This window comes from Homo sapiens, chromosome 5, assembly GCF_000001405.40.
Source record: "Homo sapiens chromosome 5, GRCh38.p14 Primary Assembly".
NCBI lineage: Eukaryota > Metazoa > Chordata > Mammalia > Primates > Hominidae > Homo > Homo sapiens.
The window spans coordinates 107,952,947-107,973,094 of NC_000005.10; the positions used below are offsets into that span (position 1 = coordinate 107,952,947).

Here is a 20,148-nt window from a genome sequence, read left to right on the forward strand (position 1 = left end):
CCTCCTCCATTACTCCCACCAAATATTCCTCCCCTCTCACAGGTCAGATGTACTTTTGTAGATTCAGCTATTGCTTTTGAGTGGAGAACTCTGAAATGTTTATTTCCAGCATGTTAAAGGTACAAGGAATTTCAAGACTCTTGTTTCATACTTTAAAAAAAAAAGGCAGATGTAGGCCGGGCGCTGTGGCTCACGCCTGTAATCCCAGCACTTTGGGACGCCAAGGTGGGCGGATCACGAGGTCAGGAGATCGAGACCATCCTGGCTAACACGGTGAAACCCCGTCTCTACTAAAAATACAAAAAAAATTAGCCGGGCGTGCTGGCGGGCGCCTTAGTCCCAGCTACTCGGGAGGCTGAGGCAGGAGAATGGCGTGAACCCAGGAAGTGGAGCTTGCAGTGAGCCGAGATCTCACCACTGCACTCCAGCCTGGACGACAGAGTGAGACTCTCTCTCAAAAAAAAAAAAAAAAAAAAAAGGCAGATGGAATCCATGAAGTTGCTTGACTAAATTTACCCATCTAGTTGGTGTAAGGAAAGGAACTAGAACACAGGTCTCCAAAACTCCAGTTATGTGCTGCTCTCTATCATACAATACTGCTTCCCTTTCTAGCTTTGGTATCTCATTTGTTCTCTTGTATATCTGCCTTCTTACTAGACTTCACACTTCAAATGTCCAAAAGCAAAGTCTTCACCTTCTCTTGCAAGCCAGTTCCCATGACATCTTTCTTCACTAATGATGTCTCACTCTCTAGGTAATCCCTGCATGAAATCGTAAGATCATCTTTGACTCCTTCCTTTTTACCTTCTAAATATAATCAATAAGTCTTTGGTATAGCGAGTACATTGAAATTATATCCATCTTTCAAGAACAAGTGCAAATGCCAGCTCTTCAATGAAACCCTGCAAAGTAATTAATTCATGTTAATTTCTCTTTCCTCTAAAATCATACATCATTGATTGAATCCACCAATTATTTTGATACTTAATCATATATCTTACTGTGTCACTAATGACTAAACTCTAAATTGTTTTGTATTTCTCATAAGACCTAGATAAGTTTATGATTAGTAGGTACTCAATAAATTCTCACTGTGTTGAATCACATTTCTTTATAACTTGTTATTGGCTGACATATCTCTAAAACATGAATAAAATGCTTGCAAATATTTTTGATAGTTTTGAATATTAAAACCATAGAAACTGAGTTCTGAATAAATATTCCTCTTAAAAGAACATTTTATTTAATATACTAATTCCAAGTGAGAAGAAAGAAAGTATGAGAAAAGTTATGCACAAAATAAAATGGATATAAAATAACCATCAAGTATTATGTACATTACCAAAATGGGGCCATTTAAATAAATACTTTTCCTGACATTTACCTATTCAAATCACACAAAAATAATTTAAAATAGCAATGACTTTAAAAGACCAGTGATATCTCATTAGGAAAGAGCAGTTCAGAAAGCAGGCTGAATCATGCAGTGAACCACAGTCAGTGGGCCTGTAGGCCATGGAAGGAGCACTGTTACAGAGTGCAAGGGACCTCAAAAGGAAACACTCTCCTTTAAGAAATCATTAGTAGGCAAAGACAGCTGATTTTAATTGTTCAGACTGGTACACAGGAGGAATGACAATCTCCAAAGTAGAGAATTCTTTTTAAAAACCCTCCTAATTAGTCCAAGAAGTTGACATACCATGGCATATTCATGAGTCTACAGGAGAGGAAACAGATTTTAAAAGGAGAGATGAATGAAAAGACAGCAGATGGAAAGAAAGTGGTTTTGATCACAGATGACTATAAATGAAGGACAATTGAGATAAATTAATATTAGAAAAGTTAGAACAAAATTAATAAATATAAAAAGCAGAAGATAAATGGAAGAAGGTTATAGGAAATTCCTATCTATAAAATGAGGCTTAAGAACTATAGGTTGCAAAATTTCTATTTTGATATTAAACATGCTCATAAAGCCAGAGATTTACTTCCAAAGCCACCCAGGAAATTCAATCTTGTTAATTTACTGACACCCCGTAGATGTTAAGAATGGAATATGTAAAGCACTTTGAAAATTGACTGTCTTAAGTTTTACCCAACTTCAAGGAAAGAAAATGATCAGTTTTAATTATAAAACAATTTCTTAGAAAAATAAAATGCTAAAAGCTAGTAAACTAGAAAGGATGACATCTTTTATTTCTTGATTTTTTAAAAAATTACAAGAAATAATAGAATAATTTTTATAAATAAATTAACATTAACTAGGAGTAAGTACTAGGCCAAAGGACCATAAATTCAACACACATCACAAAATAGTTCTTTCTCTCACCTAAATAGCTCTTAGTCTTAACAAAAAAAAATTAGAGTGTCTAACGTGAGTAGCATAAGTTTGAGATTTTTTAAAAACAAAAAAACTAAGAAAGATTACTTTTTAAAAACCAATAACTAAGAAACATCAGAAAGATGCTTCACTTTACCACAAAGTGATCTGAAACCCTCTTTAATGTTGATTTTGCAATCACAGTAGAGGCAGCTCAGAGCTATTGCAGTGCGCTGTGACAAGAGCCTCCAAAGGAGATGAATGAGATCATCCTATTGATAAGGTCGCAATCGATCTGAAGCAGACCTTTTTCAAATTAGCAAAATGTTACAGCACTTTAGTAAGTGTCACCAACAGCCCTTCTCCATGAAAAATGCACTGGCTTATGGAAAAACTAATTTTGTAAACTAAAAATTTGTCTCATAACAAAAAAGTGTTGCTACACCTATTTTTCCTCCAAATGCTCAGAGACAGAGATTCTCAAGGTAGCCTGCTTTTATATCTGGTTTCAGAATAGCCCACCTCTCAAACATCTCTTAAAATAAGTTGTGTCTACTAATTAATATCATGTCTATGGCTAAAAGTGTCAAGAGAAAGGTTCCTCAAAATACTAATAGATATCAATCTCAAATAAATTCTGATCCCATGAAAATAAAAACATCTTTAGCGTTACTTGCTAAAAAATCAATTACCTCAAAACCAATTACCTCTAATTCATCTGAAGAAAGCAAAACTAACCCTTCAGCTTTCTTGGGAGGAAGAAAGTGGACACAGAAGGAATCTTATCAATGGCAAAGGGGTTGTCATAAAACCATCAAAAACATAATCATTGTGTAGTAAAAGTCAATTTCTTTTTCCTTCAAGTGAAAATTATTATGGAAACTTCTAGATATACACACACACACAATGGATGAATGTATAGATAATAGAAATAATTTTATTAATATCTTTAGAAAGTGATTCTCAAAATGGAAATCTGCTTCAGAATTACCTTGCACTTGTTAAAACCTCAGATTCCTGAGATCTCTGCGGGTATGTTAAGGAACCTGCAATTTTACTATGTTCCAAGGTGTTTATTTTGCACGAGGTTTCAGAACCACTGCTATAGAAAAACTTGGCTTGCCACTTCACTTGTATACAAGATGGTGCTGGTAACATGGAGCTTGCTTTCTAAAAGTGTAAGGCGTAGTGATCAGAGTTCAGATACACCAGAGGCACCAACTCCAGTTTTTCCCTTTATAATCTAACTTTGGGCAAGTTACTTAAACTCTGAGATTTAGGTTTCTCATCTGAAAGTATTTTAATATCTCATAGAGATGTTTTAGGGATTAAAGAAAATTTACGTTAAGAGTCTGACACACAGGAGGCTTTCAAAAATAGTATAATTAGTTCAATCCCCACAGTGACAATTAACTTGTTCTGCAGCTGGTCCACAGAATGTACCTCAGAACAGCAGCCAATAAAAGAAACTGACTACTCTGGGGTGGTGTGCTCCTAACTCCCCAAGACAAGCTGATTTCAAGAAATATTGAAAATTTGTACTACTATTTCATAAAATTAATTTTCAGTGGGTGGGCAGAAGAGAGAATACTTACTGGACAGCTTAGGAAAAAACTAAGAGAAGCACCAAAAAGAACTTGCTTCAAAATAAAGACAAATTTTTGAGTTTTCTCAGTGCTCAACTCTAGGCACTGATAGTGTTGAGATGGCAGCAAGTGAATTAGCATCGATTTCACATTTAAAATTAGGATGTAATTTGCCACCTTCAGTACTGTGAGGTTGACTCCTTTAATTTGAGATTTACATGGCTTCACTGCTTTACTTAATATAGTCACTTCCTGATTATTCCTTTCTTTCTTTTGTGGTTTCTCAACCTTTCGGTGTCACTGATTAAGATTCCTTATACCAGAAGTATATAGCTGACAGGACAAAGGGCCCCAGCTTTGTAAGTAATCCAGGTGAGGATAATAGGGACAGAGACCCAGGAAGAGTGGGTGTAAACGACATCTGGTTCCACCGACTGTTCACTATACTCAGCCAATTAGTGTGATGAGGAAGTAACATGCTAATAAACAGTTCTAACACTGGAATGGAGAAAAAGGAAACAAGATTTTTTCCCATTGGTTAGAGAAAACTGGCTCCAGGTCTAATTATAAAAAAAAAATCACTCACAAGAAGAGAAGCTTTAATTCTTATTTAGAATACACAGTTAGAAATATATTATTTAAAAAGGACTACACTCAAAAATGATGTTAGTGAACAGAGAGTTGACATCATCTTTCAGATCTCCATACAAATTTTAACTCATTGATGACATATGCGTTCTAAATTTGCAGCACATACTATTTTTCCAACTAAAACACCTATACAGTTCTGCGCTCACATCACCTCAGATTTAACCTAAATTGGTTTGCACGCCCAAACACTGCACAAACACATACTGACATACACACATAGAAAAAGTAAGCACTTTCAACTGTACTTTGACTGCCTAGGCCATAATTTGTACATATTTAAAATATAATTGTGGTAGAAACTTCCTAGTGATTCAGTTGGATTGAGGAAGAAAACAAAAATGCTGAAAAATGAATCTCCATTTTCCATGTTCACAGAGCAGTTTTAAGATGACCTGGTCAATTCTGTGGGGAGCAGACATCAACACAGGCAAAGTATCCTTAAACAGCAGTCTCTGGCCGAAGCATTCTGTGCAGGGAGTGAGGCCCAGTGTCCAAGTAATACATCGTTAATTGTTGACACGGCAGAGAAAAGGTCTAAGTTGAAATAGTTCAATGGCCATGTAATACAGGTGAACAGCGCGATTATTTCCCTTATGATTATGAGTCAACTTTGGTACACAGAAATGGAGTAGCTTGAAAAAAAAAAAAGAAACATGAGTAAAAAGAAAAGGAGAAAAGATAGCCCAGGTTCTGTCTTTATTTATTTATTTATTTTTTGGTGGCTGTTTAGAGCACGTGAAGATATAAAACTGCTTCTTTATTTTTTCATAGGTTTAAATATCTCTTTTCCCTTTATGGCCATCAATGTTCCCCCATTTTAGTTCTAATTTTTTAGTTTAGTTTATGGACTAATATAAAATCTTTAATCTCAGAACTAAACATGTACTATATGGACCTCAGAGTAATCTGCACTGCAGCCAGCTAGAAAATTTGAGAATCAACATCTCATATAGTTTTTCCTACTTCCTTCTGAAAAGAAAGAAAAGCTTAAATTATCTTTCCTTCTATAGTTTGCCAGCCAGAGGGTAACTTGTCCTTAAAAAGCACTGAAACATAGATGACTTAGCTGTTTAATCTATAGATAGCTCTTATGTGCTCCTCTGTCCTGCGGCCTCACTTCGTCAAGCAATGGTGCAAGAGCTGTCAAGTGAACATGTATATAGGTGCTCCTGGCATGCCCCTAAAACAACAGTTTCTTCTTCCAGTCCCTGCCTTTTCCCAGATAATGTGGCTGCCAGCTAATACCTGTGACCCATTTTTCATGTATTAGGCAGACCTGTGCTTTCTCAGAAATATCTAAGTTAAAAGAATTACATTCGAAATTAAATGGAAAATAATCCTGTCATAATGCTGAGAAGAAAATAATGGAAAAATTACATCATGTTCTAAATTGTATATAGATCACTCATTTTCTTAAAATAAATTCTGGCATATTAGAGTTTAAAATGTCAAGTATGGTCAAGGTTCTGTGGAAACTAGTGAAGAATTGAAGATCAGGTGCGTTAGCATCAGGAAGTGACTTGAATCATGTGGTCTCCATGGTAACAGCCTTGGTGCTTACATCAGAGGGCCTTCTCTTACACGCACCACACGCCATGATATTTCTGATGAGTGCTTGGGCCATGGAATTGTTCTCCTCATAGGTGGGGGCCCTCTGCATTCAGGGCTGGCCATTAACCTTAATTTAGGAATGCTGATGGGTGAAATTATCAGTCACAGAGCCCTGGGTCTAGCAGGGTACAAGGAGCACTTTGTGTACAGAGGGGTAGTCAAGAATAATTTAGAAGTACCTTATATATTTTCAATTTACTTTTGGTAATACAGAAAACTAAAGTGTTTTGAGTCATGGTCATTATTTAACATACAGGGCTGCTATAAACACACACACACACACACACACACACACACACACACAGGCAACACTTTATTATTGAAACATGTTTTATTTCTGTACATATGTTGTGTTGTGCCCCACCTGCCTTCGCCTGGTTCTAATCAACCTCACGCCCCCTTATGCTCACTCATCAAACTCACCGGTTTATTTGCTTGGTACATTTCAATGGTCACACTGTGAAAAGCATGCTAACCACCACATCTTGTTTATATTTTAATAGGAGTGGCTTTTATTACATCCCCAATGCATAAAGTTTTGTCATAATGGTTCTTATAATATGGGGACTAAGTGTGACATTTGTTACTAAAAACATTACAGTTTTCAGGTCTTTTCCAACCTGGCCTTGATTGACACAGAATAGGGCTTAAAGAAGTTTGCTGAAGTTGTGGTCAGAAACAACCTCTGAGCTCTCTGCTTCTTTGAAACTTTGTTTTCTCATCTGTTGAACTAACATAGTCTCACAAAGGCAAGAAAAGCTCTGGGAGGTTTATTCAGCACTTTGTAATAAAATCCATACTACCTTCAGGGGATGTTTCAGTAGATCTGTTCTCAGTGACTAAAATTAATCTACGTACTTTCCTTCCCACGTGACACAGAAGTCCCAGGGCCTTACTCTGTTGTGGAAACTGATATTCAGATTAATCAAGAACAGGAATCATAGGGACAGAAATCCGGAGAACTCTGTGATTACTATTGGTTCTCAGTTCCTTTTTATTTTTGCTCCTTTAGTTACCTTGCTTTTCATCTGGACTAAAGCTTACTCATTTATCCACGGTTCTAGGACACAGTTTGTCCTCAGTAAGTCCCTCAATAGTTACTCATTCATCTACTCTTTCTCTTTTTTTTAAGGTGTACAATGTGATATTTTAAGATATGTATACACTATGGAATAATAACTTCATATATCATTTTTGTGGTGAGAACATTGGAAATTTACTCTCTTAGCAATTCTAAAATATACATTATTACTAACCATATTCACCATGCTGTGCAACACACCTCAAAAACATATTCCTTCTCTCTAACTGGAACTTGTATCTTTGACCAACTCTCTGCTCCCTCCTACTCCCAGCCTCTGGTAACCACCAGCCTACCCTCTGCTTCCAGGAGTTCAACTTTAGATTTCTACTTTAGATTTCAACTTTAGATTTCTATAGGAGTTCAATATAGATTCTACATATAAATGAGATCATGCAGTATTTGTCTTTCCGTACCTGGCTGATTTCACTCAACATAATGTCCCATAGGTTAATCCATGTTGTCCCAAAGTAATTCAAAAAGGTTTCTGAATAAATAAAAAATACAAATCCAGCAATCCATTGTTCTTGGGTCTAACTACAACTACTACTACTACAACTGAAAAAAATGCTAATACTGTAACATTTATTGAATACCTATTTACTGACTGCCTTTTCCTTCATGCCAGGTACTGTGCTGGGAAATCGAGATACAGGTAAGTCACAATCCAAACTGTAGGGAGTTCCAAATCTATAGACAAAGAAGGGGAAGTAAGTATACATTTTCAGTAGAGTGTGACTCAGGTTACCAGAGGGTATGCACAGGAAGTTACTGGGGAACTGAGGAGAGGTGGGTAGGATGGGTGCCAGAGAAGTTTTCCTTGATAAAGTGAAGTCTAAGCTGAGTAAAAAGTGATACGGAGAAGCAGGCTGGCTGGAAAGAAGTGGGGGTCCAGGTTGGTGAGAGACACGTCAGGTAGAATAAGCAACACATGCAAGAAGCACAGACATGGGAACTTTAGGTGCTGTCAGCTGCTTTTTTCTTTTCTTTTCTTTCTTTCTTTTTTTCTTTTTCTTTTCTTTTTTTGGGGGGTTTTGTTTTGTTTTTGAGACAGGGTCTTGCTCTGTTGCCCAGGCTGGAGTGCACTGGTGCAATCTTGGCTCACTGCAGCCTTGACCTCCCAGGCTCAAGATATTCTCCCACCTCAGCCTCCCAAGTAGTTGGGACTACAGGCACATAACACCAGGCCTGGCTAATTTTTGTAATTTTTTTGGTAGGGACAGGGTTTCGCCATGTTGCCCAGGCTGGACTCTAACTCCTAGGCTCAAGCGATCTACCTGCCTGAGCTGCCAAAGTGCTAGGAATACAGGTGTGAGGCACCACATCTGGCCAGGCAACTTCTGATTAACCAATGTGATGGGGGTGTAGAGTGGGAGTAGGCAGTAAGAGTGGGGCAAGGGGCAAGGACAGAAGAAGTAGTTACAAATTATTCAAACTCATGATTAAGACAAAATGAGTCAAAACCTGGTAAGATTTGGATAAAATGGAACATAAAATCATAAAATGTATGTCCTGATAAATATTTTATTTGTTAAAAGATACCTGATTCAAGAATGCTTGCATTTCAATGTGAGACAGCCTATCTCATGGTTGCATGGGCTTCTCAGCTAAACTTTTTTATTTCAAATGATCATGGGATAGGGTCTATGTCTGTGCAGATAGGTGAGAGGGAACACAGGCTAGGAGACAGGCTCTTGGGGTTTGAAGAAGAAAAGGTTAACATTTTTAAAATGATACTTTTATTTACATTTACAATAAGAAACTAATTGTAAATGTGACTCATCAGACAGTGAAATGCCTTTGGAATAACAAATGTGAGCACAAAATTATGTTCACTATAGATCTGTTAAATATACTTCTATTGTATAGTTCTTTGAAAGGAAGAACCATTTTAAGATTAAAAATAAAATATCTATACAATTTCTCTTTCAGATGATGAAAAAGGTCTGGAGATAGTGGTGATGGTTGTACAACACTGTGAATATACTCAATGCCACTGAACCGTACGCTTAAAAATGGTTAAACTGGTAAACTTTATGTTACGTATACCTCACCAGTTAAAAATTATTTAAACCTATAAAATGATAGTTATAATTTGTAGTATAAAAATTTTTATGTAGAGTAAAACAGCATTAATGACATTTAGCAATCTATGCTTTCACTGTGACCATAACATTCTAGTATATAAATTGCTACCAATCATTGACCCATCCATTCTGTGTCAGACCAGCTACACAACACATGTATTGTATAACTTGGATATTGGTATTTTTTCATTTTAAAGATGACAAATACATATTACTGGGATAGAAAATACCATTTACATACAAAACTCAAAAAACATACATGGATATTATTGCTACTATCCTGCATGCCAAGGGAAATTTTTAAATTGATATTGCTTATTACATTATTAAATGCATTTTAAAAGTTATCTATGAGCTAGTCTTTCTGGAATTAAATAACAGGGCAAGCGTTAAAAGTTTTTTTTTTTTAATGAACAAATCTGATTTCATTTTGAAGGAGACATGTCTATCTATAAGCTAATTTTTTTTCATAAATTAGAATGGAGAAGTAGATATCAATAAATTTATATTGCTTGATACATTTCTTTTAATGACTTCAGTTATTTCATGATCTATATAGAAGTCTTTGTAGATGTGCCCAAATTTGGCAAAAGTATAAGGTTTGATAGAGAAGACAGTTATTTTATACAATGCATACCACCCAAATCTAATTTTTAAAAGTTATATGAGTAATTTCATGGTACAAAACCCATCCTCCATTAGGAAACATTTTCATTTGAAACTGAAAATTATATGTTCCCAGTGAAGGAAAAAAACACTTAAAATATTTGGAGGTGCTAATCTCATACTATCAAAGATCAAAGATATTTTCTTTTTATTATTTCTAAGATTCTGGTGTCCTGATCTTTTACTAAAGTACTCATATTTTATAAACTGAAGAACTTTACCAGACAGAGTATTTAAGGGATTAGTCGAGGCATTAGAAGCCCATGGCTCTGATACTGGCATGCCCATCCACCCATACATTGAGGGCCTATTGTGAGCCAGGTACTGTTGTTAGCACTGATGAATAAGACAGACATAGTCCCCTGGTCCCAAAATGGGAAATGAGAAATTAAACAAAACTCTGTGTGTGTGTATGTGTATATTATACATAATTATAATAAGTCCTATAAAATAAATGTACAGGAAGGTGTTAAGACTAAACATGAGGGAAGGGATCTAATTTGCCACTAATTTTAATGAGACAAAAGCAAAAGCTTTGAAGTCAGAAAAAAAATGGGTTTTAATGGTGGATTCTCTAGTTAGGAGTTGTGTTTCTTAATGGCTGTGCTAGTGAACTTTTCTAAACTTGTTTTATTTCCTTTAAAACGAGGATAGCACTACTTTTTCTTTTAGGGTTATTGTAAGAGTTAGTGATAAAGTATGTAAAATACTTAATAGTATAAATTTCATACACAGTAGATGTTATTATTATCATAATACCTCCATTTACTATAAAATACAATAACTGAGCAGAAAGCACATTTAGCTCTGGGAGCATGGAAAATCATGTTGCTTCTCTGTGTCAGACTCAAACTTCAGAGAAACAAATAAACAATTTTATTATTTGAAAACTCACTCTAGGCTTTATAAAACAGAAACTAAAAATTGTAGGAAATAGATTCTTTTCTAATTAATGAGGTTAATCATCAGATAATTCAGAACATCTAAAAATCCTTTAAATATTTCTGAAGTTCATCTTGCTTTACCAGTACAATGGAGACCTAACACATTTATCACTTAGGCAAATGTCCAAACAAAGTTTGAGAAATATGAATAAAGTAGCATAGTTTTTATGTCAGTGGGAGCTTTATAAGATTTATTATGGTTCCACTCTAGTACAGACAGGTGAATTCACTGCACAGCTGGCAACTTTTTACTTCACTTTGTGTAGTGAAGACCTGGCATCAACCAAAGGTTCCCATTTTCTTCATCCAAATGGATAATTTTGCCCAAAGAGATCACTTTGTCATATGTGCTTTCATGTGGTGAGCTGGCAGAATTGCTGCTGCCTTATATGATCAAACAACAACAATAAAAATCACAGGGGATGCAGTGTATAGGCAAAGTACAATTAGAGCCATCAATTATTCTCAGGGATAAAACTTATTATTTAGAGAATAAACATTACGAAATTACTGATTATCTGTTCCTTTAAAAAAATTACCCAGAATGAAGAGTAATAAAATGTAATACAAATATAAAATGTAACACAAATATCCAAACTGGATCATAACTACACAAGATAAAAATCCTGAGCCAAGAAGCTGTACCCAATTCTCATACTTTAAGAATCTTAATAGAACTGATAGTCCCCATTAAATTTTGTCCCATTATCATTAGTACACAGTTAAGACTTTATATACAATGGATAGCTTTACCTTCAAGGCTATTTATAGCAAGCTAATAACTGAGACCCCAAAGACCTCAATTTACATAAAAAGAAGGCAAGGCTACATTCACCCAGGTATACAAATCACAACTATATAGACAAAAGCTCTAAGAACTCATAATCTCTTCTTTTTGGATTTTGTCAGGGATGGCTGGCTAATTGGGGAAACTCATGAAAGTACCTTACAATCCAATTAGCACTTCAGTGCAATTAAGTGGTAGAGGCTTCCCTATTCTGCAGAGACTGGCTTTGATCTTGCAGTGAAAAGTGTCCTTCCTTAAAGCTGAGGTTTTGATTTTTTTCTCAGTAATTAGTGCTAATTGTAAACCCAAGCCTGACCTGCTATAAACAGAGTGTTTTACCGCATTTGACACCAGGACCCTAAATCAGTGTTCTCTTTTGTCTATATTGTACTTGCTTATTAGAAATCTGGCTATTTTGCTCAACATTTGATGCACAATGGGTAAGTACATACTAAAGTCAGCTGAAACAAATGCCTTGATCTTAAGAGCTTGTGTGGGTATTTTCATTGATGTCTTTTAAGCCCAGTTACCATAAAAGTAGTTGATTGAATTTCACTTAAGGAATATACTGTAGTTTTTCTACACAAAGAATGACTATTCAAAAGCAGTTTCTAAAGAGGTTTAACAACGCTTGTATGTTTGGAAAATAAAAACAAAAGATGAAAATGGTCTTTTCATGGGATCAAATATAAAGAACTGCAGAAATCAATTGCAGAATTCTCCTGAAAAATACCTATTATAACAATGCCTGTTAAATCAATTCATTGTTTCGATTTATAAAAATGAATTAAAATAGAGGTCAATGAGTGAGTAGGCTGGTGAGATATCTCTATATGGAAATAAGATGCTGTAAAATAGAAAATCCCAGACCTTCTCCAAGGTATAGATAAGATCCTTTGAAACTAGCACACAGTTTCCATGCAAATGCAAAGCAGCTGGATGTTAGATAGAATGTTTCTCCCTCAAATATGTTTTTAAACATACCCTGTTCCATTATTTAGCAAATGCTTCCTTCATAGGAAAAATTATACATGGAGGTATAGCCAGTTGAGGTTATAATGTTAGACACTCTGAATTAGGACCAATTTAGTGATCTTGAAATAGACATAGTCTAGTGTACAGATACATAATTACTGGAGGGAAAAATATGTTCCCAATACAAATATGAATTACACATAAAATATGATGACACCAATTAGCACTTCTTACAAATAGCTATTTTGGTGATATTTTTCCCCTTAGGGAAAAAAAATCAAGAGTCTAGTGACAGTTTTTTTTCTATAAAAGACGATATGATTGAATCTGACTAAAACAAACAAAAGGTAGAATGGGCTCTTAGAAATTTTCCCTGATTTTACACCTTGTAAATTTATTTTAATCATTTTAAAACCAGAGTATTACAGGCATAAAAATTAAACAATAATAAAAAGCCTGTTGAAAACTTTGGGGTATTTGCCCTATCCCTTCCCCTCCTCCTCTCCAGACACTACTTTCAACTCTTGCAAGCCATTGCGTTGGCTCTTCATCTCCATATTTTTAAATCAGAAATGGCTCAAAGGGATAAGCCCTGACTATCTGTATTTTGGAGTTACTCAGGGGAAGGGGCTGGGATATTACATTTAGTACCAGACTCTCACCCCTGTTTTCAGACTGATCTCACCCTCTTGAGACCCTGCAGTCTCCAAGCCCTGAGGCTCTCTAATTCAATCTTCCAAGAGCATCATTTCCTGCCAGGATGGAAGTGGTGAGGTCATTTGTCCAGTGACAGAGAATGTTTCGAGGAAGGAGAGATCAGGAGATCCAGTTGTAACTTACACATACTTTTCAAGCAATCCCTGTTTCCACTACCCACACCTTCACTACCTGGCTCCCAATTTCTCAGACCTTTCTGGGAGGTAAACTGGGTAGCTGCTCTTTGGTACTTTCAACCTGGAAGCATTTTTGTTCGACCTCACTTCTCTCACTAAATCCTTATCATTCCTTTACAAAATTTGTGTGGTAAAATGTATATAACAAAATTGGCCATGTTAACTGTTTTTAAGTGCACAATTCAGTGGCATCAATTACACTTACCTTATTGTACAACTATCACCACATCTAGTTCCCAAATTCCCCATCATTATGAACATTTTTTTATTCTTCCATCTGCTTTCCTGTTTTGCAGGTTGTGTTTTAGGAGTACGGTGATCTACTTTAATAATAATTGAAATGTGTGTTTCTTTTTTCCTTGTTTTGGGTAATTTTTCAAGAGAAGAATGCAGAAGTATCTTTATTCTGTCATCATAAAACCAAAGTACCATCTTCTCTTTTAAAGATGGGACAACTCTTGCCTGGAATGATTAAGTAACTTGATCTGGCTATCAATGTGAATCAGTGGCATGACAAGATTAAAACCCAATTTGCTTAATTATCTACCCAAGGTACCTTCCATCAACTACACTATTCATATCATTATTGGAGTCCTTGTGAGTTAGGATTTCAATTTTTTTTTCTTTTTTTGTACATCGTTTTAAATTGTGTATACCAAGGAGATTGAGAATGATGTTTCTGTAAATATTATTATAACACTAACTGTTGGACAGTTGCTCAGTAGGAAACTAGATCTACCTAATTCTTGTGGTGACAGTAAGTAGGAAATCGAAGATCAGAATCAAATCTCTAGAACTGCTTAGATGTGCAGGCATGGAAGAACTTGACCAATGTTGACAGCTAAGTTTATATACCCTTCTCCGAGAGCTGGCAGTCTATATTTTAGGACCCGTTTAAAACAACATTTTCACTCATAGGTGGGAACTGAACAATGAGAACACTTGGATACAGGAAGGGGAACATCACACACCAGGTCCTGTCATGAGGTGGGGGGAGGGGGGAGGGATAGCATTAGGAGATATACCTAATGTAAACAACAAGTTAATGGGTGCAGCACACCAACACGGTGCATGTATACATATGTAACAAACCTGCACATTATGCACATGTACCCTAGAACTTAAAGTATAATAAAAAAAAAAGAATAGGAAAAAAACAACATTTTCAATATTTTACCTAGTATGCATCCCAAATTAGATGTAAATTACAGCTTAAATATTTAATGATGTAATAGCAAAAAGGGTAAAAAAAATTTCTGTAATTGGATGCAGCTTTTTATGTTACAAATACTAACTTCCTATATTCCATGTATCATGTGGTCACCTACTTTAAGGTGGGACAAATAATTTTATCTAATGTTAGTTATTATCTGCTTCAATGATAAACTGGCTTTAACAGGGTGGTATTGAAAATAGCACATTATTTTTTCAGCTTAAAAAAGCTATTCCAGTTATACTAAGGTATAACGGACAAAACTGTACATATTTAAAGGTATAAATATGATGTTTTGATTATGTGTTAAGTTTTAAAACTAGACTTGATGTGAGTGTCACTGGCAGAAAGGAGGAGGAATAGAGTAACAAGGGCAACAGCATCAAAGAAACAGAAAACAATGCTCTCAGGTGGGTATCCTTGGAGTCCCTATTTTCAGATGAAGAGCTCTTTTTTTCAGAAAAGTTATGTAACTTGTCTAATATGACACAGCTATAAGTGATAGAGCTAGGATTTGAACACAGATCCAGTGCTCTCAACAACTAAGCTGTGTGTGCAGATTAAAGAGTTCCTGAAAATTCAAAAAAAGAAGTTTACTTATGTATATAAAGTAAACCGAGATGTAAGCATAAAATATTCTAGTACACTGATCATGGTGAGGGCAGGGCAATTTCTTCTCATTTGTAAAAGGCAATTTAGTCTCTTCTTTTAGAGTAGACACATCTGTTACTCTTGCTAAACCATTCATAAATATGGAAAACATGGGATGAGAAACACTAAACTATGCCCATGAAAATGTAGTTGAAAATTTTGTTCTTACTTTTAAGTGAATGTGATGAATCATTACAAAAACCTAATGAATCATAACAAAATTATTTTAATATAAAACTTAGTTTACATGCCAACAATTAGGTGAATAATCCAAAAATAAATAAAAATTGCCTCTGAATAAGCACTGAGAAGGAATGCCATATCAAATGCACTCTGTACTTTCTTTATAGGAAAGCCTTATGAACCTTGCTTGGAGTCTAGTGGCTCTTATTTTAGAAACAATTCTGATAAGCTAGTTTTTTTCCTTGTAGTATAAAGCACATCAAAGTAAGTAAACAGAAAGGATATACTGCTAAAAGTAGGAATACAAGAACACTAAAACATCAAAAATGGCCATGATGACCCCCCAAAAAAACCCAAGAAAGAAAGAACTCCCCAAAATTACCCAAGCATAACTTGGAGGTTGTCAAACCACAGCCTGCAGGCCAAATTCAACCTACTGCCTGTTTGATGACAAAGTTTTACTGGAAATCAGCCATGTTCATCACTTATATATTGTTTATGGCTGCCTTCCCAGTGCAATGACACAGTGGAGTGGCAGCAGCAGAGACTAGGTGGCCCGGAAAACTTAAAACATTTACTATCTGACCTTTTGCAGAAAAGGCTGTCAACACCGTGGTCTAGGTCATTGAAAGCATGGATAAATAGCTTTCCATACCGCATGGGGTACTGTGGACATGGCACATTTGACTCACACAGAAATTGTTCGTTTATGATTAGTACACTTTAGTATACACTCTTTAACAAATCTCTGAAAAATGCAATGCATTTTAGAAAAGTTTCCAGAAAAAATGACTCATTATTGTTTAATGGATACAGCCTAAACATTTCAATTAACCAGAAACCCATTTATATAGAACACCCAAATAAAGATATCTTTCTTCATATTTCAAAAAAAAACTATTTAGAAGTTGAAATCCCAAAATTATTCACTGGCAGAAGCAGGTGAACAAAGTTAAGTCAATTCAGATGCCCTTGTTAAAATATTTTTTCCCCTTAAGGTCAAAGTTTGTGTTCTTCTAATTTCCTTCAGGTGATCCACAGTCTCAGGACTGTAGAAGCCTCATGTTGCCTAAACTGAGCACACTGGAAACACTGATATTAGACAAGGGAATTGGCATTTTTCAAGAACTACGGCTGCAATTTAAACTACTGCTTGATCTTCCCCTAAAGCATACTAGAGAACCTAATTTCCATAAAACTTTCTAACCCAATTTGAACAGTATAATGTGGACAGTGGGGAATACATGGGTTTGATCAATTATGAATTTATATGATATGTTAGTAAGCTATTCAGGCATCATCTTACAATTCAGTATTTTGAACACTAATGCCATGCTACATAATTTTAAAATGATGCATTTCAGAAAAACCTCACTAGGGCATATTTGCATATTTAGAAATCTAATTAACCCAAGCATATCTTAAGGCTTTCAAAAGAGAACATACAATAACATTTTTGTCAGCTGAATGTTTGCTTCAGGCTATGTAAGGATTGTATCATCTGGTGTGTGTTAACCCTTCAGCTCCCCATTTTTTATGTAATGGCTGTTTAATTTGGGAGTTGGGCAGATAGAACTTTCCACTCCCTTTCTGGGCTGGAGACTCTAGGGCTCAGCATGAACAAGAGGACCTGTGATGGTTCTCTTTGTTACCAAACGCAAGTTCAAAACTCTCTTCTCTCCTGCCTTAGGTAATATAACTGAGAGCTGCACTACTTGCAGAAACACTTGAATTAGATGAAAAAAAATGACCACCACATTGCATATACAGCAAAACATCCCCTTATATATTTTCTGTGGGAAAAATATTTCAGAAAAAGGACAGGTGCCCACTGAGGGACACTACCCAACCCCACAGCTGCTACCGCTTCTGCCCTTAACTTTAATTTCGTCTAGTGCGGTTTTCTTCTATCCCTTAGGCCAGAATCTATGATCAAAGCCAAAAATAAGAGCAGAAAGAAAAGGCCTGTTCTTTAGACCTATCAACTCTACTAGAAGGCAAAACTTTGCTCCTGCATGCATGGCTCTCTCTGCGTGCCTGGTAGTAGAGGCTGATCATGGCCAAAGTCCCACTTTCCTGTGATTTTTCCTTTGAAACGTTGGCCATTTATCTTGCCAGAGTGGAAAAAGACCTGCTGCCCTTGTTACCACACCTCCCCAAGGATTGCTGTAGGTATGGAGGCTCTGACGGCAAGAAAAACTACCTGTGCTCCCACGGCCTTCACCTGTTTTGCCAAGTTCCCTGCAGGTGCTCCCCGTGTTAGAAAAGCCCAGAGAAAAATGTTGCTCTGGAAGAAATGGAAGTTGCTTATGTGAGCGTCAGTTAAGTAGAAAATTGGATTTATGTAAAATTATGATATGCCCGACAGAATCTAGACACAGTATGCTAGAAATTTCAGAAGTGAGGTAAAAAATTATAAACTTAATTTGCAACAATGTACAGTCAGTTCTTCTATAAAACATGTTTTGAAGTCACAAATTTATTCCAAAAGGATTGATATATGAGGGAACAATTTGAGCATAATGCAAATTACATTTGCTTACCGTTTCTTTCTGGAAAACACCAGTTCAACATGGAAAACTTCACCAGGCAGAACTGGGCTGGGGAGATGAAATTCACAAAGCACACACAAGCACACATCTTAAACTTCTACCAGCTATCTCATTCTGTGTTACGTATGAGCACACCCCTCCACATCTGCTGGTACATTTTTACATGGGATTTCAAATAGTTCTACTTCCAGCATGTCACCATAACCTTCTGATGCCAACTTCCACACGTAAACTTAAGGTCTTTTTCAAGGCGCACTGCCACATTGATTGTAGTATATATGTAGTTCTGTGGTATTAGCATGTATTTCTTAACCACTTAATACGTGTAAAACTATGCTATTTTTTATGAGGTCCCCATCCTTTAAAAATTGTATGTGTTCCTGATAAAGTTCTTGAGTGTTCGCCCCTGATTCTCTTTTCTCATAAGCTACAATTTGGTGCGTGGTGTGATGATTTTGTCACTTTATAACAGAACTGACCGTAAATTAGGTTTCATTGTTTTATTAAAGAGCAAACAAAGGGCAGAGGACAGAATCACTAACATTTTAGTTGATAAAGTGAAACAAACGTTTTCATGTCTACTGCTAGTATATAGCCTGTTAGGTAGGAACAAAAAGTTCACATGATTATTGGCATTTTAGAGCATACTGGGCTCACTTCCCACCCCACTCCAATTCAGCTCACATGCCATCTCCCCCAGCAAACCTTAACTCCTCACCCCAATTCTGTATTAGATGCCTCCACTGTATCCCATGTGTTTCTAAGCTCCTGCTCATACCTTTGGCAAAGGCCTCACCACATTGCACTGCAATTCTGTGTACTTATTATACTCATTCACTAGATTGTGAGCTCTTTAGAGCCCTCTCTGAACATGTATTTGAATTCTGAGCATGTAGCACAGTGTTCGCAGAGTGGAGGTGCCCAGCAAATGTGTGTGAAGGAAGAATAAAGGAATGTCCAGTTCTTCTTTGTATCACTCATAGCCCTGTGCACAGTGCTTTGCACAGAGCAGGCACTCAAAAGATACTTGCTGAATAAATGAAAGAAAAGAAAAGAAAAGAGAAAACAAAAAGTGTACTTATTTACAGAGAGGCAAACAGTAAACAAAATTGTATGTTGAATTTATCAAATAAAGTCTTAATATAAATGGTGTAAATGTATCTTTATAGGTAGATAAGAAAGGAAGATGACTCATATTTTATAACAAGGGTAGAACTGTTAGATTTCCTCAAGAGGTTGTCTGGCTCGTTTCTACCATCCAGTCAACTCTTAAGCCTCCCAACTAGGTAAGTGTTCATTCATTTTAAACATCTTCAAAGTCTGTATTATGTTCCTTGGTAGCCTTAGACAGGCTTAATAATATTTTATAATCAAGAAGTTTCTTCCAATGTAAGATCAAGCTTCCCCTTACTACTTTAAACTAATTTTCTTTTGTTCTTTCTTCTACAGGGATGGAGAACTGGTCAGCATTCTATTTTTATATGTTATTCTTATTCTTATAAGCATTCTTATGATAAGTATACTATAAGACAGTTATTAAGTCACCGCTTAGCTTTCTATTTTCCTGGCTAAGCAACCAAACTCCTTTAATCTTTTCCCATATGATCTATTTTACATCCCATAAAGATTTGTCACTTTTTTTTACAGACCTTTCCCAATTTCACACTTAACTTTAAAATGTGGAAACTCGAAGTTGTCAAAATAGTTTAATAAAAGCTTATACAATGCCAAATATAACAAATAATTATTTCCTAATTCCCTAAATCCCAGTATCATATGAGTTTTACAGCATGCTTTGCTAATAGCCAACAACCTCTCACCCCATCTCCATCCCTGTTAGTCCTCATGCGCTCCCTGAATGGGTGGTGTTTGAAGAGGGCCTGGCACCCACACTTTCTCTATGGACAATGTTCAAAGGTGCCCTCAATGCATGCAACATTCTCTGGGT

The 20,148-nt window shown here is 36.0% G+C and overlaps 1 protein-coding gene across 4 annotated transcripts in view, besides 1 other annotated feature; it reads right to left on the reverse strand.

The window, feature by feature from the left end:
• FBXL17 (F-box and leucine rich repeat protein 17) overlaps nt 1–20,148 on the reverse strand; it is a 523,064-nt gene that overhangs the window by 93,912 nt on the left and 409,004 nt on the right. The window contains exon 8 of one of the 4 annotated variants that reach the window (XM_011543575.3): nt 4,489–5,189. The exons of the other annotated variants lie outside the window; for them this stretch is intronic. Coding sequence (XP_011541877.1) covers nt 5,155–5,189 — 35 coding nt within the window. The 3' untranslated portion in view covers nt 4,489–5,154. Of the gene's footprint in view, nt 1–4,488; nt 5,190–20,148 lie in introns of those variants that run through there. 4 annotated transcript variants of the gene reach the window in all.
• Nucleotides 11,216–14,329: an enhancer, noted in NCBI's record as "VISTA enhancer hs1345". NCBI's record gives its function as "enhancer in: forebrain[12/12] | eye[11/12]" and the evidence as "EXISTENCE:transgenic organism evidence [ECO:0001131][PMID:17130149]".